This window comes from Homo sapiens, chromosome 10 (genome assembly GCF_000001405.40).
Source record: "Homo sapiens chromosome 10, GRCh38.p14 Primary Assembly".
Lineage (NCBI taxonomy): Eukaryota > Metazoa > Chordata > Mammalia > Primates > Hominidae > Homo > Homo sapiens.
This window is the reverse complement of record NC_000010.11, coordinates 45,652,814-45,678,515: the sequence shown is the minus strand read 5'-3', so window position 1 is coordinate 45,678,515 and position 25,702 is coordinate 45,652,814. Positions and strand designations below refer to the sequence as shown.

At 41.1% G+C, this 25,702-nt stretch overlaps 1 protein-coding gene across 23 annotated transcripts in view, besides 2 other annotated features; it reads left to right on the top strand.

Annotated features, from left to right (window-relative positions):
* Positions 5,442-6,161: a silencer, noted in NCBI's record as "silent region_2347". NCBI's record gives its function as "represses an Ori minimal core promoter by ATAC-STARR-seq in GM12878 lymphoblastoid cells {active_cell/tissue: GM12878}" and the evidence as "EXISTENCE:reporter gene assay evidence [ECO:0000049][PMID:35858748]".
* ZFAND4 (zinc finger AN1-type containing 4) overlaps positions 5,703-25,702 on the top strand; it is a 57,314-nt gene continuing 37,314 nt past the window's right edge. For 5 of the 23 annotated variants that reach the window (XR_001747259.2, XM_047426009.1, XM_047426008.1 and 2 more), the window contains exons 1-3: positions 5,744-6,504; positions 14,674-14,974; positions 25,457-25,532. Coding sequence is in view for 20 of the 23 variants with exons in the window: in XM_047426009.1 (XP_047281965.1) it covers positions 6,454-6,504; positions 14,674-14,974; positions 25,457-25,532 (428 nt within the window). In the remaining 3 variants the exon portion in view is untranslated. Of the gene's footprint in view, positions 6,505-10,319; positions 10,387-14,673; positions 14,975-15,834; positions 15,937-25,456; positions 25,533-25,702 lie in introns of those variants that run through there. The other 18 variants (XM_017016933.3, NM_001128324.2, XM_047426018.1 and 15 more) reach the window with 15 other exon arrangements.
* Positions 23,821-23,920: an enhancer, noted in NCBI's record as "active region_3322". NCBI's record gives its function as "activates an Ori minimal core promoter by ATAC-STARR-seq in GM12878 lymphoblastoid cells {active_cell/tissue: GM12878}" and the evidence as "EXISTENCE:reporter gene assay evidence [ECO:0000049][PMID:35858748]".

Here is a 25,702-nt window from a genome sequence, read left to right as displayed (position 1 = left end):
GAGAACAGACGGAGCTCCTCCTCCTTCTGTAGTCACCTACAGACTGAAGCCCACTGGCCCCAGGTGGGAGCCCAGGCATGTGGCACACAATGCCCCACCCCACACTTCACAATGCCCTCCCCGACAGCTCACAGTGCCCCACCCTGCCTGCCACCCCTCCCCAACAGCTCAGAATGCCCCTGCCTTGGCTGCCCCACCCTGCGGCTTATGATGCTGCTGCTCTCCTGGCCCCTCGTGCAGTGCCAGTGGGACTAAGGTTTTCATTCATCACCAGCTTCCTGAGATTTTAGTCCTAAGAAAAGCACAGGGTAGTTCATTCCTTGAAGCCATCTTCCTCTATGAGTTCTATACAAAGCCTCAGTAGAGTGGGTCCCATTAGCAACCAAGTTGAACAACTTTTATTTGCTGTCTGAATATAGATACACCTGAATTGTTGACTGCTTTTGTAACTAAACACTCCTCTCCTGTCTTCCAACGAGTGGTCATTTTTGTCCGCAACTTGACCACAGCAATCCCTGGGGCCCTAGCGCTACTCTCAATAAAGAGTTATGGCTGTGTGTTTTGAATGACACCTTAGGACCCATCCTGCCTCCACCTCCTTCTCCATAAAATGGAAACCTAACTTGTCCCTCTCCAAGCTCTGAAATGCTGAAACTTACCAACTCCCTTTTCTCCCCGCTATTTCTTCCTTCCGTGGCAGGGACTTTCAGGTTTTCTTTCTTTTACTAACAAGGCACTAAGCATGATTTTCTCATACAAAATCGAGAGCCATAAAGTGGCTTACCACAGTCCTATTTCAATAAAGATGAATACTCGACATCTGGCAAGTAGTGTGTGCCTGACACTGTGCTATGCTCATTTAACCCTCAGAAACAATGTCATTTTACAGATTTTACTGAAGGAGTTGAGATGGAGAAGGTAAGTAACCTCCCCAAGGTCACATGGCTGCTAAGGTTGGGGCCACAATTTGATCCCAGGTAGTCTGAATTCCCCAATTCCTGAAGCATGATTATCGGAAAGCACATTAGTCTGTTTCACACTGATATAAAGAAATACCTGAGGTTGGATAATTTATAAAGGAAACAGGTTTAATTGATTCACAGTTTCGCATGGCTGGGTAGGCTTCAGGAAACTTACAATCATGGCAGAAGGGGAACCAGGTCCGACTTACATGGTGGCCGCACAGAGAGTGGGAACATGTGAAGGAGCAACTGTCAAACATGTGTAAAACCATCAGATCTCAGCTGGGCTTGGTGGCTCACACTTGTAACCCTGGTACTTTGGGAGGCCAAAGCAGGTGGATCAACTGAGGTCAGGAGTTCGAGACCAGCCTAGCTAACTTAGTGAAATCCCGTCTCTACTAAAAATACAAAAATTAGCTGGGTGTGGTGGCGCATGCCCGTAATCCCAGCTACTCAGGAGGCTGAGGCAGGAGAATCACTGGAACCCAGGAGGCAGAGGCTGCAGTGAGCCAAGATCGCGCCATGGTACTGCAGTCTGGGTGACAGAGCAAGACTCCATCCAAAAAACAAAACAAAACAAAACCCTATAAGATCTCATGAGGACTTACTGAATATCACAAGAACAGCATGAGGATAACTGCCCCCGTGATCCAATCACCTCCCCCTAGGCCCCTCCCTCGACACATCAGGATTATGGGGATTATAATTCATGATGAGATGTGGGTGGGGGGACATGGCAAAACCATATCAGAAAGTAAAGGTAGAAGTCAAGCTTGAACAGGAAATGACATTGTAGATTACTATTTTTTTTTTCTTTTTTTTTGAGATGAAGTTTTGCTCTTGTTGCCCAATGAAGTTGTTTTTCTAATTTCATTTTCAGATTGTGTCTTGCAGATGTGTAGAAATACAATTGATAAATGATTCTGGCTATTAACCTTTGATGCTTCAACCTTGCTGAACATGTTTTTTTTTTTTTTTTTTTGAGACGGAGTTTAGCTCTTGTTGCCCAGACTGGTGGCATGATCTTGGCTCACCACAACCTCCGCCTCCCGGGCTCAAGAGATTCTTCTGCCTCAGCCTCCCTAGTAGCTGGGATTACAGGTATGTGCCACCATGCCCGGCTAATTTTGTATTTTTAGTAGAGATAGGGTTTCTCCATGTTGGTCAGGCTGGTCTCGAACTCCCGACCTCAGGTTATCCGTCCACCTCGGCCTCCTAAAGTGCTGGGATTACAGGCATGAGCCACCGTGCCCGGCCAAATCTGCTTATTTTTAAGCTTTTTGATGCTTTTCTGTTTTGTTTCAGTTTTTTTTCCTATTTATTAATACAAGTTCTTTAGGTATTTTGGATAATTGTTAAAAAGCTTTTTAATTTGTTCATTGGTTTCTTTGCTGTGAAGGTTTTCAATTTGGCATTGTCCCATGTTTAGTTTGGCTTTTCATGTCTCCACTTTTGTGACATATTCTGTAAATTATTGTCAAGATCAATACCTAGAAACTTCTAGACAAAAACCTAAAAGAAAAGTTTTCTCATTTCAGGTCTTACACTTAAATGTTGTTTTTTGATTTTTTTTTTTTTGGAGACAGAGTCTCGCTCTGTTGCCCAGGCTGGAGTGCAGTGGTGCGATCTCGACTCACTGCAGCCTTCGCCTCCCGGGTTCAAGTGATTCTCCTGCCTTAGCCTCCTGAGTAGCTGGGACTATAGGCACGCGCTACCACGCCCAGCTAATTTTTGTGCTTTTAGTAGAGACAGGGTTTTGCCATGTTGGCCAGGATGTTCTCGACCTCCTGACCTTGTGATCCACCCGCCTCCGCTTCCCAAAGTGCTGGGATTACAGTCATGAGCCACCACGCTTGGCCACATTTAAATCTTTAATAAATTTTTATTGGATTTTCGTTTGGCAAACTATGCTACCCCCCCCCCCCCACTGTCTGATCTTGTTAATAAAGTTTTATTGGAACACAACCACATTCATTGATTTACTTACTTTCTATTGTTGCTTTCACCCTACCTCCAATGTAAGAGTTGAGTAATTATGACGAGACCGGATGGCTCACAGAGCCTCAGATGTTTTCTATCTGCCCCTTTTATTTATTTTTTTGAGACGGAGTCTTGCTCTGTCACCCAGGCTGGAGTGCAGTCATGTGATCTTGGCTCACTGCAACCTCTATTTCCTGGGTTGAAGCGATGCTCCTGCCTCAGCCTCCCGAGTAGCTGGGATTACAGGCGCCTGCCATCACACCCAGCTAATTTTTGTATTTTTAGTAGAGTTGGGGTTTCACCATGTTGGCCAGGTTGGTCTTGAACTCCTGACCTCGTGATCCACCTGCCTCGGCCTCCCAAAGTGCGGGGATAACAGGCGTGAGCCACTGCGCCTGGCCCTGCCCCTTTACATAAACAGTTCGCTGACCATTGCTCTAAGGCATTCTGTTCCATTCTTGCCTTGTGGAAGCAGCAGAATGAACCTAGGTAATAGCCGGGGGAAGTGCTGAGGATAGAAATGTCAGCCTCTAGAGCAGCACTGCCCCATAGAACTCTGCAGGAATGAAAATTTTCTTTATCTGCATCGTCAAAGGCAGTAGCCACTAGCCACCTGGATGGCTGACCCCATTCTAGTCTGTGTTTTTTGGTGCTCTGTCGTCTTGCTGCTGACTATTCAGCCTGTCACCATGGTGCAGTCTTGTAGGCCGCCCAGGTTGGTCTCAGCGATCCTGGAGCTACTGACTTCTTCCTTGGGCACTGTAAGATCAGACAGGGAATTACTCATACCCAGAGTCAAAGATTTTGTTCAGCTCCCACAGGTCAACCATTTGCCCAAGTCTGCTGTGAGAGTGACGTGATGACAGATGAGGGCACTTGCTAGTTGGCCACTCCTTTCCCCTATTCATTTTATGCATCTTCCTTCTGTCCGTAGGTTATTTGTGCACATAGTTTCTTGCTGTAGTACCCAATGTCGGTCAGAGTCAGCATTTGTTAAATACGATGATTTTCTTTTGGAACAACTAAATCTACTCATCAATCAGTAGGATTGGTTTCAGGGGATTCAGGAGACAACAGGTTTAGAAAATACGCAAGCTGCTATTTTGAGAGGCTTGAAAGGGAGAGAGAACTTACGTTAAAAAAAAGTTCCTATGGTAACAACTTTTAATGCTATTTTATTCAGTCTCCATGGTCTATCAGATAGGTAATGTAGTAACACTAATTTTACAGATAAAGCTAAAATCTGGAAGCAATGTGGAATAATGGAACAAGGTTGGATTTTTGTATTGTGTCCTAGTTTAAATATGGCTTTCCGACATAGAGCTGTTTGATTATAGGTAAATTGTTCTACTTTAATTGGCTTTTGTTTACTCCTTTGTAGACGAGGGATTTCACTACCAACTTTGCAGGATTGTGATGGGGAGAGAATACGTAAAGACCCTTATCAACTATCTGGCACTTGAAGAATGGCAGATGATAATGATGATGATGTTGTAAAGAATGAATGACTTGGCCAGGTAATGGAGCTTCTGGTATTGGGAGGCAAGGCTTTAAACACACCTGCCTGACTCCACGGTCCATGCTGTCAATTCTCCAGTGTGAATGAAGTGGGCAGGCAAGGGTGAGAAACGCTAAGGTTTTTACTCAGTAAGTCTCCATCACAGGCCCTATTCTAGGCTCAGGAATGCAAAGATGATTACCATCATAGCTCTGTCCTCAAAGGTCTCCAATCTATTTAGCATTAAGCATATGTGGAGTTTCAGAAGGAACCAACGGCGAGACTGGTGAATCAATGCCCAGTGCCTCACCATACTCCCCCAGTGTATGCTCAATAGTTCGTTGAACTGTGGAGATAAGTTGGTGGGTAGGGTCTCAGAAGAATGAGAGAGGACAGGAGACACAGATTAGATGTTTAGTTTCATATTAGACTGGCTCCTCTGAGCCAGAAGTCGAGGATGAGTGAACCCGCAGTGGGAGTGAGATGACATTCTTTGTCAGCTGAGTAACCCACTTAGTGAAGGAGGTTCACGGAGTTGGAAAATCGGTAGGGGGAACGGAACGAGGCAGTGGGCTCCCATGTTAGGTTGAAAGGCAGGTGTTGGCTTGAAGCCAGTTACTGTTTACACCGCAGCTCAGCAGCTTGGAAACTGGAGCAGGAGGTGTGGCTGGGCTTACCCAACGCTGGGATTTGAGCCCAGGGTGCCTACTCCATTGCCTGGCCTACAGTTCTCAGTAAATTGTATGAGGACTACAGAAAGTTATCTGTTTTCGCCTTTGTCTTCAAGCAGGCACGGTAATGCCCCCATTTTCCAGATGAGGCAATTGAGGCCAGAAACATTAGGGGACGGTGAAGCCTAAAGCAGATTTGTTAGGACAGGCCGGCCCAAACGCACCAGGAGCGCCCCTCACTCTGGAGAGGCCACCGACTGGACAGCGTCTGCCTGTATCGCCTATCTCCAGCAAATCAGGCGCCTGGAAGAGGATCCCCGGTGGGTCTCACGGAGGGCGGCTCCGGCTTCAACCCCGCCGTTCCCAGCAGGCCATGCGGCTGCCCTCCAGACGCCCGCGTGGGCACGAGTCAGGGGTCCAGTGTTGCTAGTAATAAAAGATCAACATCCGGGCCTCGTAACTCACAACCTCCAGCGAATGCCAAGAAGGCCCCAGGGCCCTGGCGCCCCGGCAACCGCCCACGTCCGGGGGCCAGGCCTGCCCCCGCCCGCGCTGATTGGAGGGCAGCGAAAGCGCCGTCCAGCGATTGGTAGGTGGTGTCACAAAGGGGCGGGGCGCGGCGGCAGCGGAGCGTTGTCGGCCAGTGCCTTCCGTGAAGTTGCTCGCCGGGTCGTTGGGCCCTGTCGACCTGTAGGCGGGCGAGCGAGCCAGCGGACAAGACTGCGGGTGAGGCTGAGCTAGCGAGCGGCCGGCAGGGGGGGCGCCCGGGCTGCGAGCCGCTGAGCCCAGCCGCGCTGCCGCCGCCGGCCGTCGTGGGGCCGGAATGGCGCAAGGCCGGAGTGGCGCGGGCGCTCGGCGCTGGGCTGCCGGGTAGAGTCCTGTCCCCGCCCCTCGCCTTGCGGCCTGACGCCGGCCGCTGCTGCCCGGGGACCGGAGCGGCGGGCCGCCTTTGCCCAGGACACACGCTCTGGCGTTTGTTCCTTTGGGCGTGACGCCAGCTTCAACGGGTACGCGGCTTTCCCGACGGGTGCTGATCTCCGAGTCGCTGTTGTCACGCGGACTGCTGTCCTCCAGATTCAGGCCGGTGGGTCTGGGGAGCCCGGATTGGTCTTGGAGGAGCAACGGCTGCGCAGGTGACTCGGTGGCCTCAAGTGTGTAGGTACCTGGATGGCGCGAGGAGATGCTGGCTCTGAAATACTTCCCAATTCCGCTTGCAGATGAACTCCGGACTAGAGTTTAGGCTACAGACAAGTTAGGCGGTTGATGTGATTCTGTAGCTCGTATTTCGAACTTTAGGGATGTTTTGATGTATCAGTAAATGTAGATCTGTGTCACAGTTTTAATGGCAGCTTCACATTCCGGATATCTTTATGTTGGGGAAAATGTTTCAAAGGTAACTGCTCTTCTGTAGCTAAGCTTCTTTAGAGCAGAGGTTGGAGAAAATTCTGAGTTACTGAAATTACGTATTCAGCGCTATTGCCTGTTTACCTTTAACTTCCATTTCATCCTTGGAGTTGTGTTTTTAGAAACTTTTCAGAAGAAATGAGAGAAATGCTTTGGGAATTGATTTTTTTTTTTTTTTTAAGTTCTAGGGTACATGTGCACAACGTGCAGGTTTGGTACATAGCTATACATGTGCCATGTTGGTTTTCTGCACCGACTAACTCGTCATTTATATTGCGTATTTCTCTTAATGCTATCCCTCCCCCCATCTCACTCCCCACGACAGGCCCCAGTGTGTGATGTTCCCCTCCCTGTGTCCAAGTGTTCTCATTGTTGAGTTCCCATCTATGAGTGAGAACATGGCGGTGTTTGGTTTTCTGTCCTTGTGACAGTTTGCTGAGAATGATGGTTTCCAGCTTCATCCATGTCCATGCAAAGGACATGAACTCATCCTTTTTTTATGGCTGCATAGTATTCCATGGTGTATATGTGCCACATATTCTTAATCCACTCTATCACTGATGGACATTTGGGTTGGTTCCAAGTCTTTGCTGTTGTGAATTGTGCCACAGTAAACATACGTGTGCATGTGTCTTTATAGTGGCATGATTTATAATCCTTTGGGTATATACCCAGTAATGGGATCGCTGGGTCAAATGGTATTTCTAGTTCTAGATCCTTGAGGAATTGCCACACTGTTTTCCACAACGGTTGAACTAATTTACAGTCCCACCAACAGTGTAAAAGTGTTCCTATTTCTACACATCCTCTCCAGCATCTGTTGTTTCCTAACTTTCTAATGATCGCCATTCTAACTGGTGTGAGATGGTATCTCACTGTGGTTTTGATTTGCATTTTTCTGATGACCAGTGATGATGAGTGTTTTTTCATGTGTCTGTTGGCTGCATAAATATCTTCTTTTGAGAACTGTCTGTTCATATCCTTTGCCCACTTTTTGATGCGGTTGTTTTTTTCTTGAAAATTTGTCTAAGTTCTTTGTAGATTCTGGATATTAGCCCTCTGTCAGATGGGTAGATTGCAAAATTTTTTTCCCATTCTGTAGGTTGCCTGTTCACTCTGATGGTAGTTTCTTTTGCTGTGCAGAAGCTCTTTAGTTTAATTAGATCCCATTTGTCTATTTTGGCTTTTGTTGCCATTGCTTTTGGTGTTTTAGTCATGAAGTCCGTGCTCATGCCTATGTCCTGAATGGTATTGCCTAGGTTTTCTTCTAGGGTTTTTATGGTTTCAGGTCTAACATTTAAGTCTTTAATCCATCTTGAATTAATTTTTGTATAAGGTGTAAGGAAGGGATCCAGTTTCAGCTTTCTACATATGGCTAGCCAGTTTTCCCAGCACCATTTATTAAATAGGGAATCATTTCCCTACGTCTTGTTTTTGTCAGGTTTGTCAAAGATGGTTGTAGGCTGGGCACAGTGGCTTACGCCTGTAATCCCAGCACTTTGGGAGGCCGAGGCAGGCGGATCACCTGAGGTTGAGAGTTTGAGACCAGCCTGACGAACATGGAGAAACCCCTGTTGGGAGAAATCTCTACTAAAAATGCAAAAAAATTAGCCGGGCGTGGTGGCACATGCCTGTAATCCCAGCTACTAGGGAGGCTGAGGCAGGAGAATCACTTGAATCTGGGAGGCGGAGGTTGTGGTGAGCCAAGATCACACCATTGCACTCCAGCCTGGGCAACAAAAGTGAAACTCCGTCTCAAAAAAAAAAAAAAAAAATCAGATAGTTGTGATTTTTGCACATTGATTTTGTACCCTGAGACTTTGCTTAAGTTGTTTATCAGCTTAAGGAGATTTTGGGTTGGGACGATGGGGTTTTCTAAATGTATAATCATGTCATCTGCAAACAGGGACAATTTGACTTCCTCTTTTCCTAATTGAATATCCTTTATTTCTGTCTCCTGTCTGATTGCTCTGGCCAGAACTTCCAACACTGTGTTAAATAGGAGTGGTGAGAGAGGGCATCCCTGTCTTGTGCCGGTTTTCAAAGGGAATGCTTCCAGTTTTTGCCCATTCACTATGATATTGGCTGTGAGTTTGTCATAAATAGCTCTTATTATTTTGAGATACGTTCCATCAATACCTAGTTTATTAAGAGTTTTTAGCATGAAGAGCTGTTGGATTTTGTCAAAGGCCTTTTCTGCATCTATTAAGATAATCATGTGGTTTTTGTCATTGGCTCTGTTTATGTGATGGATTATATTTATTGATTTGCCTGTATTGAACCAGCCTTGCATCCCAGGGATGAGGCCGACTTGATCATAGTGGATAAGCTTTTTGATGTGCTGCTGGATTCGGTGTGCCAGTATTTTATTGAGGATTTTCGCATAGATGTTCATCAGGGATACTGGTCTAAAATTCTCTTTTTTTGTTGTGTGTCTGCCAGGCTTTGGTATCAGGATGATGCTGGCCTCATAAAATGAGTTAGGGAGGATTCCCTCTTTTTCTATTGATTGGAATAGTTTCAGAAGGAATGGTACCAGCTCCTCTTTGTACCCCTGGTAGAATTTGGCTGTGAATCCATCTGGACCTGGACTTTTTTTGTTGGTAGGCTATTAATTATTGCCTCAATTTCAGAGCCTGTTATTGGTTTCTTCAGAGATTCCACTTCTTCCTGGTTTAGTCCTGGGAAGGTATATGTGTCCAGGAATTTATCAATTTCTTCTAGATTTTCCAGTTTATTTGTGTAGAGGTGTTTATGGTATTCTCTGATGGTAGTTTGTATTTCTGTGGGATCGCTGGTGATATCCCCTTTATCTTTTTTTATTGCATCTATTTGATTCTTTAGTCTTACTAACAATCTATCAATTTTGTTGATCTTTTCAAAAAACCAGCTCTCAGATTCATTGATTTTTTGAAGGGATTTTTGTGTCTCTATTTCCTTCAGTTCTGCTCTGATCTTAGTTATTTCTTGCCTCCTGCTAGCTTTTGAATTTGTTTGCTCTTGCTTCTCTAGTTCTTTTAATTGTGATTTTAGGGTGTCAATTTTAGATCTTTCCTGCTTTCTCTTGTGGGCATTTAGTGCTATAAATTTCCCTGTACACACTGCTTTAAATGTGTCCCAGAGATTCTGGTGCGTTGTGTCTTTGTTCTCATTGGTTTCAAAGAACATCTTTATTTCTGCCTTCATTTCGTTATTTACCCAGTAGTCATTCAGGAGCAGGTTGTTCAGTTTCCATGTAGTTGTGCAGTTTTGAGTGAGTTTCTTAATCCTGAGTTATAATTTGATTGCACTGTGGTCTGAGAGACAGTTTGTTGTGATTTCTGTTGTTTTACATTTGCTAAGGAGTGCTTTACTTCCAGCTATGTGGTCAACTTTGGAATAAGTGCGATGTGGTGCTGAGAAGAATTTGCCAGACATTAAAATGTCTTTTAATTGGGGCATTTAGCCCACTCACATGTAAGGCTAATATTGTTATGTGTGAATTTGATCCTGTCTTTATGATGTTAGCTGGTTATTTTGCCCATTAATTGTTGCAGTTTCTTCACAGCATCAATGGTCTTTACCATTTGGCATGTTTTTGCAGTGGCTGGTACCGGTTGTTCCTTTCCATGTTTAGTGTTTCCTTCAGGAGCTCTTGTAAGGCAGGCCTGGTGGTGACAAAATCTCTCAGCATTTGCTTGTCTGTAAAGGATTTTATTTCTCCTTCACTTACGAAGCTTAGTTTGGCTAAGGCCAATATTACCCTGATACCAAATCCTGACAGACATAATGAAAACTACAGATCATCATCTCTTGTGATTATAGACACAGAAATCCTGAGGAAATATTTTCAGATCAAATCCATCAACATATGTAAAGGATTACATACCAGGTACAAATGGGATTTACCCCAGTAATGCAAGATTGATTTGACACATAAAAAGTAATGTAATATGTGAATAAAAAAGTAAAGAAAACCAAATGATTATTTCAATAGACAATGAAAAAAGCGTTTGATAAAATTGGCACCCCTTCATGATTAAAAAGAAAACCCACCTAAAGCAGGAATAGAAGGGAAGCTCGTCAACCTTATATTGGTAATCTATGAAAACCCCACGGTTAACATTATACCTAAAGACTCAATGGTTTCCTTCTACAATCAAGAATTAGACAAGGATGTCCAGTCTCACCACTTTTATTCAATCTTGTACTGAAGGTTCCAGAGCAGGGCAATTAGGCAAGAAAGGGAAATAAGCCCAGTGCAGTGGCTCAGGCCTGTAATCCCAGCTCTTTGGGAGGCCAGGGTGGGTGGGTCACCTGAGGTCAGCAGTTCGAGACCAGCCTGGCCAACTTGGTAAAACCTTGTCTCTACTAAAAATACAAAAATTTGCCTGGTGTGGTGGCAGGTGCCTGTAATCCCAGCTATTTGGGAAGCTGAGACAGGCGAATCGCTTGAACTCGGGAGGCGGAGGTTACAATAAGCGGAGATCGTGCCATTTCACTTCAGCCCGGGCAACAGAGTGGGACTTTCACCCCCTCCAAAAAAAAAAAAAAAAAAAAAAAGAAAGAAAAGAGCATATAGATTAGAAAGGGAGAAGTAAAACTCTATTTGTAAATGACATGATCTTGTATATAGAGCTTTTATAGAGAGCGTTTAGGAAGATTTAAATAACTAAATGAACGAAATAAACAGTTCAGCACAGTTGCAGTGTACAGGATCAAGATATTAAAATCGGTTGTGTTTCTATAAACCAGCAATGAGCAATCTGTAAATAAGACAGTGATTCCATTTGTAATAGCATTTAAAGGAATAAAATACTTAGGAATAAATTTAATAAAAGAGAACAAAACTTGTGCTTTAAAAATTATAAAACATTGAAATAAATTAGATATAAACTGAAAAATAGTATGTATTTATGGATTAGAAGACTTAGTATTAAGATTGCAGTACTCTCCAAATCTACAGACTTAATACAATCCCTGTCAAAATCCCAGCTGACATTTTTGCAAAATGGGCATACTTAAAATTCATATGGCAATTCAAGGAGTCCAGAATAGCCAACAATCTAAAAAGAACAAATTGGAGGCCTCACACTTCCTGATTTCAGAACTTACTACAAAGCTACATTAATTAAGATGTGGTGGTACTGGCATAGGTAGATCAACAGAATAAAGAGTCTGGAAATAAACCTTCACATTTACAGTAAATTGGTTTTTAACAAGGATCCAAGACAATTCAATTGGGAATGAATGGTAATTCTGACAAATGATACTGGAACAACTGGTTATCCACATGCAAAAGAATAAAGTTAGACTCTACCTCACACCATACACAAAACTAAATTGAAATTGGACAGTACACCTAAACATAAGAGCTAAAACTACAATTTTTAGAAACATATATAAGTCAATCTTTATTACCTTGGGTTAAGCCAAGCTTTTTAAGTATGATAAAAGAAAAATAGCCAAATTAGAGTTTAACAAAATTAAAAACCTTTGTGTTTCAAAAGATACTATCAAAAGACAACCCACAAAATGAGAGAAAATATTTACCATTCATATATCTGTTAAGTGTTTTTATCTAGAATATGTAATATAAAAACTCATACAACTCAATAAAAAATCCAATTAAAAAATAGACAAAGTATATGAATAGGCATTTCTCCAAAGAATGTATGCAAATGGCCAATAATCACATAAAAAAGATGCACAATATCATTAGTTTTTAAAGAAATGGAAGTCAACCACAGTGAGATACTACTTCACACCCACTAGGATAGCTTTAATCAAAAGGACAGAAACAAGTATTGTCAAGGGTGTGGAGAAATTGGCACCCTCATTCATTGTTGATGGGACTATAAAATGATCCATACCATTTAGAAAACAGTTTGGTAGTTCCACAAATTGCCAAACATAAGAGTTACCACATTATCTAGCAAAGCTACTTCAAAGAGAAAGGAAAACATATGTTTACACAAAAACTTGCAGTTGAATGTTCATCTTAGCACTATATGTAACAGCCCAAAATTGGAAACGACTCAAATGCTCATCAACTGATGGATGGATAAACAACATGAGATATATTGCTACAGGGGACTATTATTCAGCAATAAAAAGGAGTGAAATACTGATATATCCTAGAACATGATGAACTTTGAAAACATTATGCTAAGTGAAAGAAGCCAGTCACAAAAAAATCATATATGATTCTATTTATGTGAAATGTCCAGAATAGACCAATTTGGAGATAGAAAGTAGATTAGTGGTTGCCTAGGGTTGAGTGGGGGACTGGGGGAATTTGGGAGTGTTGGTTACAGGGTATGGGGTTCCTTTTAGAGGTAATGAAAATTTTCTAAAGCAAATGTGGTGATTGTTGCACAACTCTGTGTACATCATAAAAACCAGTGAATTTTAGGCTTTAAATGAGTGAATTTTATGGCATGTGAATTATATTTCAATAAAGCTTTTTTTTTCTTATTTAATGATGGAGTCTTGCTCTGTCACCCAGGTTGGAGTGCAGTGGTGCAATCTTGGCTCACTGCAACCTCTGCCTCCTGGACTCAAGCGGTTCTCCTGCCTCAGCCTCCCGAGTAGCTGGGACTACAGGTGTGCGCCACCATTCCTGGCTAATTTTTGTATTTTTTGGTAGAGATGGGGTTTCGCCATTTTGGCCAGGCTGGTCTCGAACTCCTGACCTCAGGTGATCCGCCCACCTCGGCCTCCCAACGTGCTGGGATTACAGGTGTGAGCCACTGTGCCTGGCCCTCAATAAAGCTATTTTTAAAAAGGTTTAACCACCTCACCAGAAAGATGTGTATCATTTGTCCTAGTTTAAGTTCAAGGCCCCCCTGTATAGAGTTTTCACGATTAATAGCAATAGCAATTTGATCATTTTTGTGCTCCTAGTTCTATACTTGTCATTTAGTTTACTACTTCTATTTGTTGGGCTTACCACTCATACTTATTAGCCATTGTATGTATGTGAGCAGAGATTGTCTAATACTTATTACCAATTCTAATGTCATCTGAATGCTATAATATCCTCTGGAAACCGTTGATGATTTAGTGAGTACTACTTTTTTTTGTTTTTGAGACCAGAGTCTTGCTCTGTTGCCCAGGCTGGGGTGTTGTGGCGCAATCTCGGCTCACCGCAAGCTCTGCCTCCCGGGTTCACGCCATTCTCCTGCCTCAGCCTCCCAAGTAGCTGGGACTACAGGCAGACACCGCCACGCCCAGCTCATTTTTTTCTTGTATTTTTAGTAGAGATTGGGTCTCACCATGTTAGCCAGGATGGTCTCGATCTCCTGACCTCATCATGATCTGCCATCTCGGCCTCCCAAAGTGCTGGGATTACAGGCATGAGCCACAGCCCCCAGCCTAGTGAGTACTATTTTTAAGCAACCTATTATGGTGGTTGGCATTCCTTTTATCCAGTATGATTCAAATATACAACAGGAGTAGGCATGGTGGCTCACGCCTGTAATCCCAGCACTTTGGGAGGCCGAGGCGGGTGGATCACAAGGTGAAGAGATCGAGACCATCCTGGCCAACGTGGTGAAACCCCGTCTCTACTAAAAATACAAAAATCTGCTGGGCATGGTGGTGGGTGCCTGTAATCCCAGCTTCTTGGGAGGCTGAGGCAGGAGAATTGCTTGAACCCGGGAGGCGGAGGTTGCAGTGAGCCGAGATTGTGCCACTGCACTCCAGCCTGGCGACAGAGCGAGACTCTGTCAAAAAAAAAAAAAAAGTCAAATGTACAATCGTTGTAAAGTTATGCTTTATATGGTATAGAAGACATAATTTGTATGTTTTAGAAAAGGATATGAATAAATTTTTCAAAGCCTTACAGAAATATACTGATGTGTTTGTTGAGTTTGGCTTATATATCACTTAACAACAAAAGTATTTGTTGAGCATGTACTATATATATAACTGTGCTGAGCTCTAGTAAGATACATTATAATATCAAAAATATGCGTATTCTTAATAATCTTATGGTCTAGATGGGAGAGTGATTTCAGAGACAAATGTGAAAAGTTCAGGATTAGACATAATTAAAAGCACTAAAGTGAATTCTGGGGCCGTCTGGAAGATTGATATGGGCCACAGTTAACGGAAAATCTTTATGGACAAATACAACTTTCAGATAGGCTTGTTAAAAAAATTCTTGTTTTTTTAGGTACAAAACTCAAAACATGAACAACAATATATATTACCAATCTTCAAACCTGGTTTGCCTAGAACTGGAATACAGTTGCCTGCGACATATTTTAGAAGAACTAGAAAAGTCAAAGTAATGGATAACAGAAAAGAGCCTCCATTCTTCAATGATGATAACATGGGACCATTTTACTACAGACTTCATTTCTGTGATACCATGGAGCTCTTCATTGAAACATTAACTGGAACATGTTTTGAGCTGAGAGTTTCACCTTTTGAAACTGTTATTTCTGTGAAAGCAAAAATTCGAAGATTGGAAGGTACTCATCTTTCTTTGTTTTTAGGATATGAAAATTAAATTTGTTCATCAATAATGTCTAGTAGTTTTTAAAGTATTTTAATGGAGACAATTTCAAACATATATGATGTTAGAATAAGATAATGAACCCCCTCCTACTCCCTCTCTCCAACATTTATCAGCTTATGAACTATTTTATCCCCATTGCTGTGTTCACCAGATTCTTTGGAAACAAATCCCTGGCATCATGCTATGGTGTGAAATAATATTTTAGAATAGCTTTCAGCAGGTTATGGTGACCTGCAAATTATGCCTTAACTATTTTATAGTTACTTTTAATGTTACTTTATATTTTACTTTTAATGGGAAATAGTAATTATATTCCCTTCTAGGGACCTTATTTCCCTTTTTACACTGCTTTGCAACCACCCTCCTTTTTTTTTTTTTTAATGTGGAGGTTTTCCGAAAAGAGTCTTTGGCTTACATTTACGTATATTCAAAGTTCCCTTAGTATAGCAGGGGTGCTGAATAATGTGTAATGTCTCTTTTGTGGTTTGTATATTTGCAGAAAGTGCCTAAAAAGACTAATTTTTATTAAAATTAGTCTTTGCATTTTGCAGATTTCTGCAATAAGTAATGTTTGCCATTTATAGTTGTTAAAAATCCAGTTTTTAGTAGAAAATTAAATTGTTCCATATAACAGTAAATGGATCTTTGTTGATGGAACCAGCTGGAACTTGCTTGTAATATAAAGGTAGTGACTAGGGTTGCCCTCCAGCTGGTTTAAGTTCAGAATTATAGAAGGATGAGGAGGGTTAGAATTTTTCATTTTTGTGAGGCCAAGGATATATATGAGCTCCTGAATATTTGCTATTTCTCTAGACCCAGGAGATCCTACTGAAGTGAGTGGCTGGCCGAGTCCAGTGACCACATCAGCACATTCAGTAATGACTCTTGAAGCTTTTGTCTGCCCTAAATGATTTGGTGAGATCTAGAGTCATGATAGTTTATTTTGACTTCGTTCTGCTTTGCAATTTATATCATAGTTTAAAGGATACCTTTTTTGGAGCATGAAGGTGAAATCTTGCGTTGTAAATAATCTCTGTACTTTTTATCTCTTTCATGAATTTTAAATAATTTGTATGCAGCAAAAGCACTTTAGAGAGAATCCTGTTTCAATCTTTTTATGTCAGAAGAGTCAACTTGGGTTTAGAGGAGATTAATAACTCATCCAAGGGAAATATTTAGTTTCCATGAGTCAGAACCAGAGCCAAGTTATAGAGTCCTTGTCTCTGTAGGAGGAGACATTGTGGGGACAAAAGCAGTGGCTTTTTGGTTATTAGACAATTGAATCTAAGTTTAAATGTTTATGAACAAATACAGATATTAGGAAATTAAATAAGGTAATATGTAAAATACCTACTATCTTAGTCTGCTGGAGCTGTCATAACAAAATACCACAGACCGGTGGCTTAAACAACAGAAATTTATTTCTCACTGTCTGAAGGCTGAATATCAGGGTACCAGCATGGGCAGGTTCTGGTGGGGGCTGTCCTCTAGGCTTGTTCACTGCATTTTCACATGGCAGAGAGAGAACATAGTATCTTTTTTTTTTTTTTTTTCTTCGAGACGGAGTTTTGCACCTGTTGCGCAGGCTGGAGAATGGCGCAATCTCTGCTCACCACAACCTCCGCCTCCTGGGTTCAAGCGATTCTCCTGCCTCAGCCTCCCGAGTAGCTGGGATTACAGGCATGCGCCACCATGCCTGACTGATTTTGCACTTTTAGTAGAGATGGGGTTTCACCATGTTGGCCAGGCTGGTCTCGAACTCCTGACCTCAGGTGATCCACCTGCCTCGGCCTCCCAAAGTGCTGGGATTACAGGCGTGAGCCACCTAACCCAGCTGAAAAACACATTTTAAGCCCTTTCTGGGTGATCTTTATATTTATATCCTGGAAGACATTTGGGGTCACATGGTGTGAGTCAGATTCTCCAAGTTAGAGGGATATGGAATACGGAGGGCAGAGATGAGGCTGCTTGGGTTCGTCCTGCTGGGAAAATGATTACTCTGCCAGACTGCTTTTTCTTTAGGGGAAGTTTTTGGTGAGTTGAGAACTAGAGCCTGGTGGGGAGAGTGGGGAGGATGGAGGGGCTAGTGGAGAAAGGACTGAAGGAGTGTGCTGCATTAGGAACAAGGAGGCTGCAGCAAGGGAGGAGCAGGGCCTGCTCAGGGATTTACAATGGGCCTTGAAAAAGGGACTGGAGTGCCGAAGCCATGCTGCCTGGCTTCAGATTACTGGCTGCCCAAATTACTTAATCTCTCTGTATCTTAGTTGTCTCAGTCTAAGATAGGAAGAATAATAGTATTTATCTCAAAGGGTTGTTCTCAGGATTAAATGAGTTAAAGGTGAAGTGCTTAGCAGAGTGATCCTCCTGCCTCAGCCTTCCAAAGAGCTGGGATTACAGACCTGAGCCACCAGGCCCAGCCCTCTTCCTTTGTTTATGTAGATCTGAGTTTCTGACCTACATCCTGTTTTTTGTGAAGAATGTCTTTTAACATTTCTTGCAATATGGGTCCACTGGCAACAAATTCCACCTCTTGCTTTCTTTATGTAGATCTTAGTTTCTGACCTACATCATTTTTTCTGTGAATAATGTCTTTTAACGTTTCTTGCAAAAAAGCCATCTTTTAACGTTTCTTGTTTGTCTGAAAAAGTATTTCTCCTTCATTTCTGAAGGATAATATTTCAGGGTATAGAATTCTAAGTTGGTATTTTTTTTCTTTCAACACTAAATATTTCACTCTAGTCTTTTCTTATTTGCATGATTTCTGATGAAAACTCCCCTGTAGTAATTATCTTTGCTTCTCTTTAGGTAAGGTGTTTTTTTCCCTTTCCTGGCTGATTTAAGAATTTTGTCTTTGTCTTTGCTTTTCTACAGTTTGATATAATATGTTGAAGGTGTAGATTCTTTGGTAGTTATCGTGTTTGGTATTCTCTGAGCTTCTTGGATCTGTGGTTTGGTATGTTTCATTAATTTTGGAAAATCTGGGCCATTATTTAAGTATTTCTTCTGTCTCATTTTTTCTTCTGATATTCTAGTGGCACCTTTTGAAATTGCCACAACTTTTGAAATTGTCCCACAGTTAATAGATGTTGTTTTTGTGCATTCTTTTTTCTCTTAACAGTCCGTTTTGCCAAGTTTATTTTCTTTTCTTTGTTTCTTTTATTTATTTATTTATTTTGAGATGGGATTTCACTATGTTGGCCAGGCTGGACTCGACCTCCTGGACTCAAATAATCCTTGTGCCTCAGCCTTTCAAGTAGCTGGGACTACAAGTGCATACCACTGTGCCTTGCCTAGGAAGTTTCTGTTGCCATTTTTCTTTTTTTTTTTTTTTTTTGAGATGCGTCTCGCTCTGTCGCCCATGCTGAAGTGCAGTGGTGTGATCTTGGCTCACTGCAAGCTCTGCCTCCTGGGTTCACGCCATTCTCCTGCCTCAGCCTCCCGAGTAGGTGGGACTACACACCCGGCTAATTTTTTGTATTTTAGTAGAGACGGGGTTTCACCGTGTTAGTCAGGATGGTCTCGATCTCCTGACCTCGGGATCCGCCTGTCTCGGCCTCCCAAAGTGCTGGGATTCCAGGCGTGAGCCACCGCGCCCGGCCTCTGTTGCCATTTTTCAAACTTCCCAATTCTTTTCCAGATCCAGTCTGCAGATGACCAATCAAAGGCATTCTTTATTTCTGTTGGAGCTTTTATTTTTAACATCTACTTTTTATTCTTAAAGTTTCCATCTCTGCTTGTATTATCAATCTGTTATTTCATGTTGTATACTTTTCCATTAGATTTCTTAGCATATTAATCTTAGCTGTTTTAATTTCCCTGTCTGATAATTTCAAGATCTCTGACATACCTGAGTCTATTTCTGATGCTAGTTTTGTCTTTTCATACCATATTTTTTCATGTCTTTTAGCATGCTTTGTAATTTTTAGTTGAAAACCAGACATAACATATCAGGTAATAGGAATTGAGGTAAATAGGACATTAGAGTGAGGTTTTATCTTCAACTTGCTAGAAATTGGGCTGTGTTTAATGTTTGCTGTAGTTATAAGTGCCAGAGCCTTCAAATTCCTCTAGTTTTTTCTTGTTTTGTCTCCCCTGTTGCCTTTGAGTTTCCCTAAAGACTCCTCCTTAGAGTTTGCGTCTTACAATTCTTTCCGTTGTAATCCACTGTTGTTATACTGGAGCCTTGTTAGTGTGGTGGTGAGGTATTGGGAAGAGGGGGAACATTCTGTAATCTTATGATTAAATCTTGCAGTGGGCCTGTGCCTCTAGGCTGGGACCTTCAAAGTGTATCTTAGCTTCTCCCCTCCTTCAACTTCTAGTAGTTTAGGTGAGGTAGGGAGGCTAGAGGGGCCTGGTTTCTGGCCCTCAATAATTTCCCAGTCTCATACTAGTCCACACTCAGCCTCTATGAATTCATCAAAATTACCATTCAAGTGTTCCTTCCAGTTTATGACTTTAGAGGCTTCAGCTTCACGTAAATGGATCTTGGCTCTGACTCTCTGGGTTTGCCTATCTCAACAGATTTTCTTATGGTGATTTACCTTACTACCTAATTTCTCTGATGGCACAAAGAAAAGTTGTTGGTTTTCGGTTTGTTCAGCTTTTTTTCTTGTAAGGAGTGGTGAATTAAAAGTTCTCCATATATCAGAGCTGAAACTAGGAGTCTCAACTTCTTAAAAACATAACCGTTTATTTTAAAATTCCAATAACTGTGTTAGCTATATCCTACAAGTTTTTGGTAAGTTGAATGTCAGTGTTATTAAATTCCAAGTATTTGTTTTGCTAAAAATATTTTTTTGTTTAAAAAATTATAATAGTTCTTTAAGGGCTTTGTAATCACAGCAATATATACGATTAGACAGCTTCGATCATTTTTTTTAGTTTATACACATTCTTAATTTGCTAACTAATAATACTGAGCATGTTTTTATTTGTCTCCAAATTCTAACAAACTATTTTTTAGGAAGATATAATTTACATATCATACAATTCACATATTGTATTAGTTTGCTAGGGCTGTCATAGCAAAGTATCACAAACTGGGTGACTTAACAGAAAGTTACACGATTTTGGAGGCTGAAAATACAAGATTTAGTTGGTGACAGTGTCAGGTCCTTCTGAGGGCTGTAGAATCTGTCACATGCCTTTCACCCAGCTCCTGGGGGTTTGCTTTCAATCTTTCTAGTTCATTGGCTTATTCAAGGCATCACCCTGGTCTTCTCATGTGATAATCTCCTTGTGTCTGTGTGTATCTGCCTCCAAATTTCTCCTTTTTATATGGATACCAGTCATATTGGATGAGGGCCCTCCCTAGTTAGCTCACTTTAACTTGAATACATATGTCAAGATTCTGTCTTCAAGTTAAGGTCACATTCTGAGGTATAAGAGGCTTAGACTTCCACCTAAGAATTTTGAAGGGACACAGTATATCATAACAAGTATATCGTTCTGTTGGTGTTGGCAGACATTTACTATCATACAGTCACCACCACAATCAAGATATAGAACAGTTCCATCACCTATCAGAATTCTCCTGTACCTTTTGTGGTCAATCCCTTCCTCTATTCCAAGCCCCTATCATACCCACTGATCTGTTTCTGTTCCTGTAATTTTGCCTTTTTTAGAATTTTATATAAATGAAATCATATACTTTATAGTCTCTTAAGTCTGGTTTTTTTCACTTATGCATAATATGTTTGAGACTTATCATATTGTTATATGTATCAGTAGTTCATTCTGTTTATGGCCGAGTAATGTTCCATTATAAGGAAGTACCATAGTTACTCATTCCCAAGTTGAGGGACATCTGGGTGGTTTTTAGTTTTTGGTGATTACAAATAAAGCCATATAAACTTTCACATACACATTTTTATGGAAGCATAGGTTTTTATTTCACTTGGGTAAATACTTAAGAGTGGAATTGCTGAATTGCATAGGAAGTATATAGTTAACTTTATAAAACTGCTAAATTATTTTCCAGAGTGGTTGTTACCATTTTGTGTTTGTATGAGTAATACATAAAAGTTCTAGTTGCTCTGTATCCTTATCAGCACTTAATAATATTGTCTGGGTTCTTTTAGTTTTACTTTTTGTTTCATTTTTGCTATTATAATTCGAACTGGAAATATTTCACTGTGGTTTTAATTTACATTTTCCTAATGACTGATGATGTTATGCATCTTTTAATTTGCTTGTCATCTGTCTTAATAAGTTCAGGTTGAGAGGCTGAGCCAGGTGGATCACTCAAGTCCAGGAGTTCAAGACCAGTCTGGGCAACATTGCGAAACCCTGTCTCTACTAAAAATACAAAAATTTTTTCTGGGCGTGGTGGCATGCGCCTGTAGTCCCAGCTGCTCAGGAGGCTGAGGTGGGAGGATCGCTTGAGCTCAGGACATGGAGATTGCAGTGAGCTAAAATTGCACCATTGCACTCCAGCCTGGGCAATGGATGAGACCCTGTCTCAAAAAAAAAAAAAAAAAAGTTCAGGTTGCTGTCACAGAATACCATAGATTGGATGTCTTAAACAACAGAAGTTTATTTCTCACGGTTCTGGAGCTGGGAAGTCCAAGATTACTAATCCACAGGTCTAGGGTCTGGTGAGGGCACTCTTTCTGGTTTGCAGATAGCTATTTTCTTTCTACATCCTCTCACGGTAGATAAAGAGAGGGAGATCATCTCTCTTCTAAGGACACTAATCCCATTCTTGAGGACCCTACCCTCATGACCTAATTACCTCCAAAGACCCCCATCCTTACCTCTGATACCATTATATTGGGTATTTAGGCTTCAGCATATGAATTTGGGTGGGGGAATACAAACATTCAGTCTGTTGCATTATCTGTATATCTTTTTTGGTGAAGCGTCTTTTCAAATTTTTGTCGTTTTCTTGTTACTGTGTTTTGATATTCTGGTGCTTTTAAGTTTTCCATTACAGTTTTTGTTTCTTTTCTTTCTTTCTTTTTTCTTTTCTTTTTTTTTTTTTTTTTTTTTTTTGAGACAGGTTCTCACTTTGTTACCCAGCCTGGAGTGCAGTGGCACCATTACAGCTCACTGAAGCTTTGAGCTCTCAGAGACAGGGTTTCACCATATTGGCCAGGCTGGTCTCCTGACCTTGTGATCTGCCCACCTCAACCTCCCAAAGTGCTGGGATTACAAGCATGAGCCACCTTGCCTGGCCGATTCCCTCTTTTTCAATCTTTTGGAATAGTTTCAGTAGGATTGGTACCAATTCTTCTCTTCTCTTCTCTTCTCTTCTCTTTTCTTTTTAGAAACGGAGTCTTGCTCTGTCAAGGCTGGAGTGCAGTGGTGCGATCTCAGCTCACTGCAACCTCCGCCTCCCGGGTTCAAGCCATTCTCCTGCCTCAGCCTCCCAAGTAGCTGGGGCTACAGGTGCGTGCCACCACGCCCAGCTAATTTTTTGTATTTTTAGTAGAGATGGGGTTTCACTGTGTTAGCCAGGATGGTCTTGATCTCCTGACCTCGTGATCCACCCACCTCGGCCTCCCAAAGTGCTGGGATTACAGGCGTGAGCCACTGCGCCCGGCCAGTACCAATTCATTGAATGTCTGGTAGAATTTGTCTGTGAATCCATCTGGCCCTGGGCTTTTTTTGTTGTTTGCAATTTAAAAATTACTGATTCATTCTCACTGCTTGTTACTGGTCTGTTCAGGATTTCTATTTCTTCCTGACTTAAGGTAGGAGGATTGTATGTTTCTAGGAATTTATCCATTTCATCTAGATTTTCTAGTTTATGTGCATAAAGGTATTTATAGTAATCTTGAATGATCTTTTGTATTTCTGTGGTGTAAGTTGTAATGTCTCCATTTTTATTTCTCAGTGAGTTTATTTGCATTTTCTGTTTTCTTTTCTTGATTAATATAGCTAATGGCCTGTGGATTTTGTTTATATTTCCAAAGAACCAAACTTTTATTTATTGATCTTTAGTATTTTTTGTTTCCATTCAATTTAGTTCTGCTCTGATCTTTGTTATTTCTTTTCTAATGCTAGCTGTGGGTTTGGTTTGTTCTTGTTTCTTTAGTTCCTTGAGGTGTGATGTTACACATCAAACTGTGATGTCAGTTTGTGACCTTTCAGACTTTTTGATGTAGGCATTCAGCACTATAAACTTTCCTCTTAGCACTGCTTTTGCTGTATCCCAGAGGTTTAGATAACTTGTATTACTATTATCATTCCTTTGGAAGAATTTTTAAATCTCCATCTTGATTTCATTGTTAACCCAAAAATCATTCAGGAGCAGATTGTTTAATTTCCATGTATTTGTATAGTTTGAGGATTCCCTTTTGGAGTTGATTTCTAATTTTATTCCACTGTGGTCTGGGGGGGATACTTGATAGAATTTTGATTTTTTAAAAATTTTTGAGACTTTTTTGTGGCTTCTCATATGATCTATCTTGGAGAATGTTTCATGTGCTGATGAGACGAATGTATATTTTTCAGTTCTTCGGTTGAATGTTCTGTAAATATCTGTTAGGTCCATTTGTTCTAGAGTGCAGTTTAAGTCCATTTTTTCTTTGTTGACTTTCTGGCTTGATGACCTGTCTAGTGCTGTCAGTGGAGTGTTAAAGTCCCCCACTATTATTGTGTTGTTGTTTATCTCTTTTCCTGATAGCAATTGTTTTATGAATCTGGGAGCTCAAGAGTTAGGTGCATATATATTTAGGATTGTAATATCTTCTTGTTGGATTGATCCTTTTATCATTATATAATGACCTTCTTTGTCTTTTTTTGTAATATTGTTGCTTTAAACTCTGTTTTCTCTGATATAAGAATAGCTACTCCTGCTTGCTTTTGATTTCCATTTTAGGCCTCAAATACTAAACTCTTCAGGCCTGATTCATGATATCTTTTTTTTTTTTTGAGATGGAGTCTCACTCTGTTGCCAGGCTGGAGTGCAGTGGCGCAATCTCGGCTCACTGCAACCTCTGCCTCCCAGGTTCAAGTGATTCTCCTGCCTCAGCCTACAGAGTAGCTGCTACTACAGGCGCCTGCCACTATGCCTGGCTAATTTTTGTATTTTTAGTAGAGACGGGGTTTCACCATGTTGGCCAGGATGGTCTCGATCTCTTGACCTCGTGATCCACCTGCCTCGGCCTCCTAAAGTGCTGGAATTACAGGCATGAGCTACTGTGCCCAGCCCAATATCTTTTTTTGTTTTTTCAACTTTTAGGTTCAGTGGATACATGGGTAGGTTTGTTACGTGGGTAAATTGTGTGTTGCTGAAGTTTGGTGTATGAATTATCCTGTCACCCAGGATGTGAGCATAGTACTCGATAGGTAGTTTTTCAACCCACATCCCCTTCCCTCCCCATGTAGTCCCTAGTGTTTATTGTTCCCATCTTTGTCTCCATATATACTCAGTGTTTAGCTCCTGCTTATAAGTGAGAACACATGTTATTTGGGTTTTCTGTTCCTGCATTTGTTCTCTTAGGATGATGGCCTCCAGCTGCATTCATGTTGCTGCAAAGGACATGATTTTATTCTTTTTATGGCCGCATGGTGTTCTGTGGTGTATATGCACCACATTTTATTTGTCCAGTCCACTGTTGCAGGGGCATCTTGATTGATTTCATCTCTTTTGTATTGTGAATAGTACTGTGATGAACATACTAGTGCATGTGTCTTTTTGATAGAGTGATTTATTTTTCTCTGGGTATATACCCAGTAGTGGGATTGTTGGGTTCAATGGTCGTTCTGTTTTAAACTCTTTGAGAAATCTCCACATTGCTTTCCACAATGGCTGAACTAATTTGCATTCCCACCAGCAGTGTATGCGTTCCCTGTTCTCCTCAACCTTGACAACATCAGTTATTTTTTGACTTTTTATTAATAGCCATTCTGACAGGTGTGAGCTTGTATCTCATTGTGGTTTTGATTTACATTTGTCTAATGATTAGTAATGTTGAGCTTTTTAAATATATTTGTTGGCCACATATATGTCTTTTTTTGAGAAGTGTCTGTTCATGCATGTCCTTTGCCCATTTTTTAATGGGGTTGTTCTTTGTTTGTTGAATTAAGTTCTTTACAGATCGTAGATATTAGATCTTTGTCAGATGCATAGTTTGTGAATATGTTCTCCCATTCTGTAGATCATCTCTTTACTCTGTTGATAGTTTCTTTTGCTGTGCAGGAGCATGATATCTTGCCTTTTAAAGGGATCCCTATCTTATACCTTGTTTTAGGACCAGAGAGTTATTGCAACATGCTGTTCTTTTCTACAGTGAATGGATTGGACTATATCTCCTTTTAGGCATGCCTTCTACCTATGATTCTGTAAATTTTAGCACCTAGCATTCAATTTAGAAGAATGTTTAATTTTTTAGTGCTCTTAGTTCCTTAATGAAATAGATTTGTATCATACTCTTTTGGAGATGCTATTGAATTCTTTAACACTTTTTTTTAATAACTTTCCCTTAAGGTATTCCCATCTGTCGACAACACTTAATTTGGAATAACATGGAACTTGAAAATGATTATTGCTTGAATGATTACAAGTGAGTGTAATTGCATATTGGCTGTTTTGTAGGCACTTAGTATTATGACTCCATATGCTAATGTTTTTCTTTTGAACTCTTAGATCATGTCTGTTTTTCTCCTGAATAGTTCACATTCCTAGATTTCATTATACATCCTGAACTTTAGATGCATTAGTTTGGTACTGTAT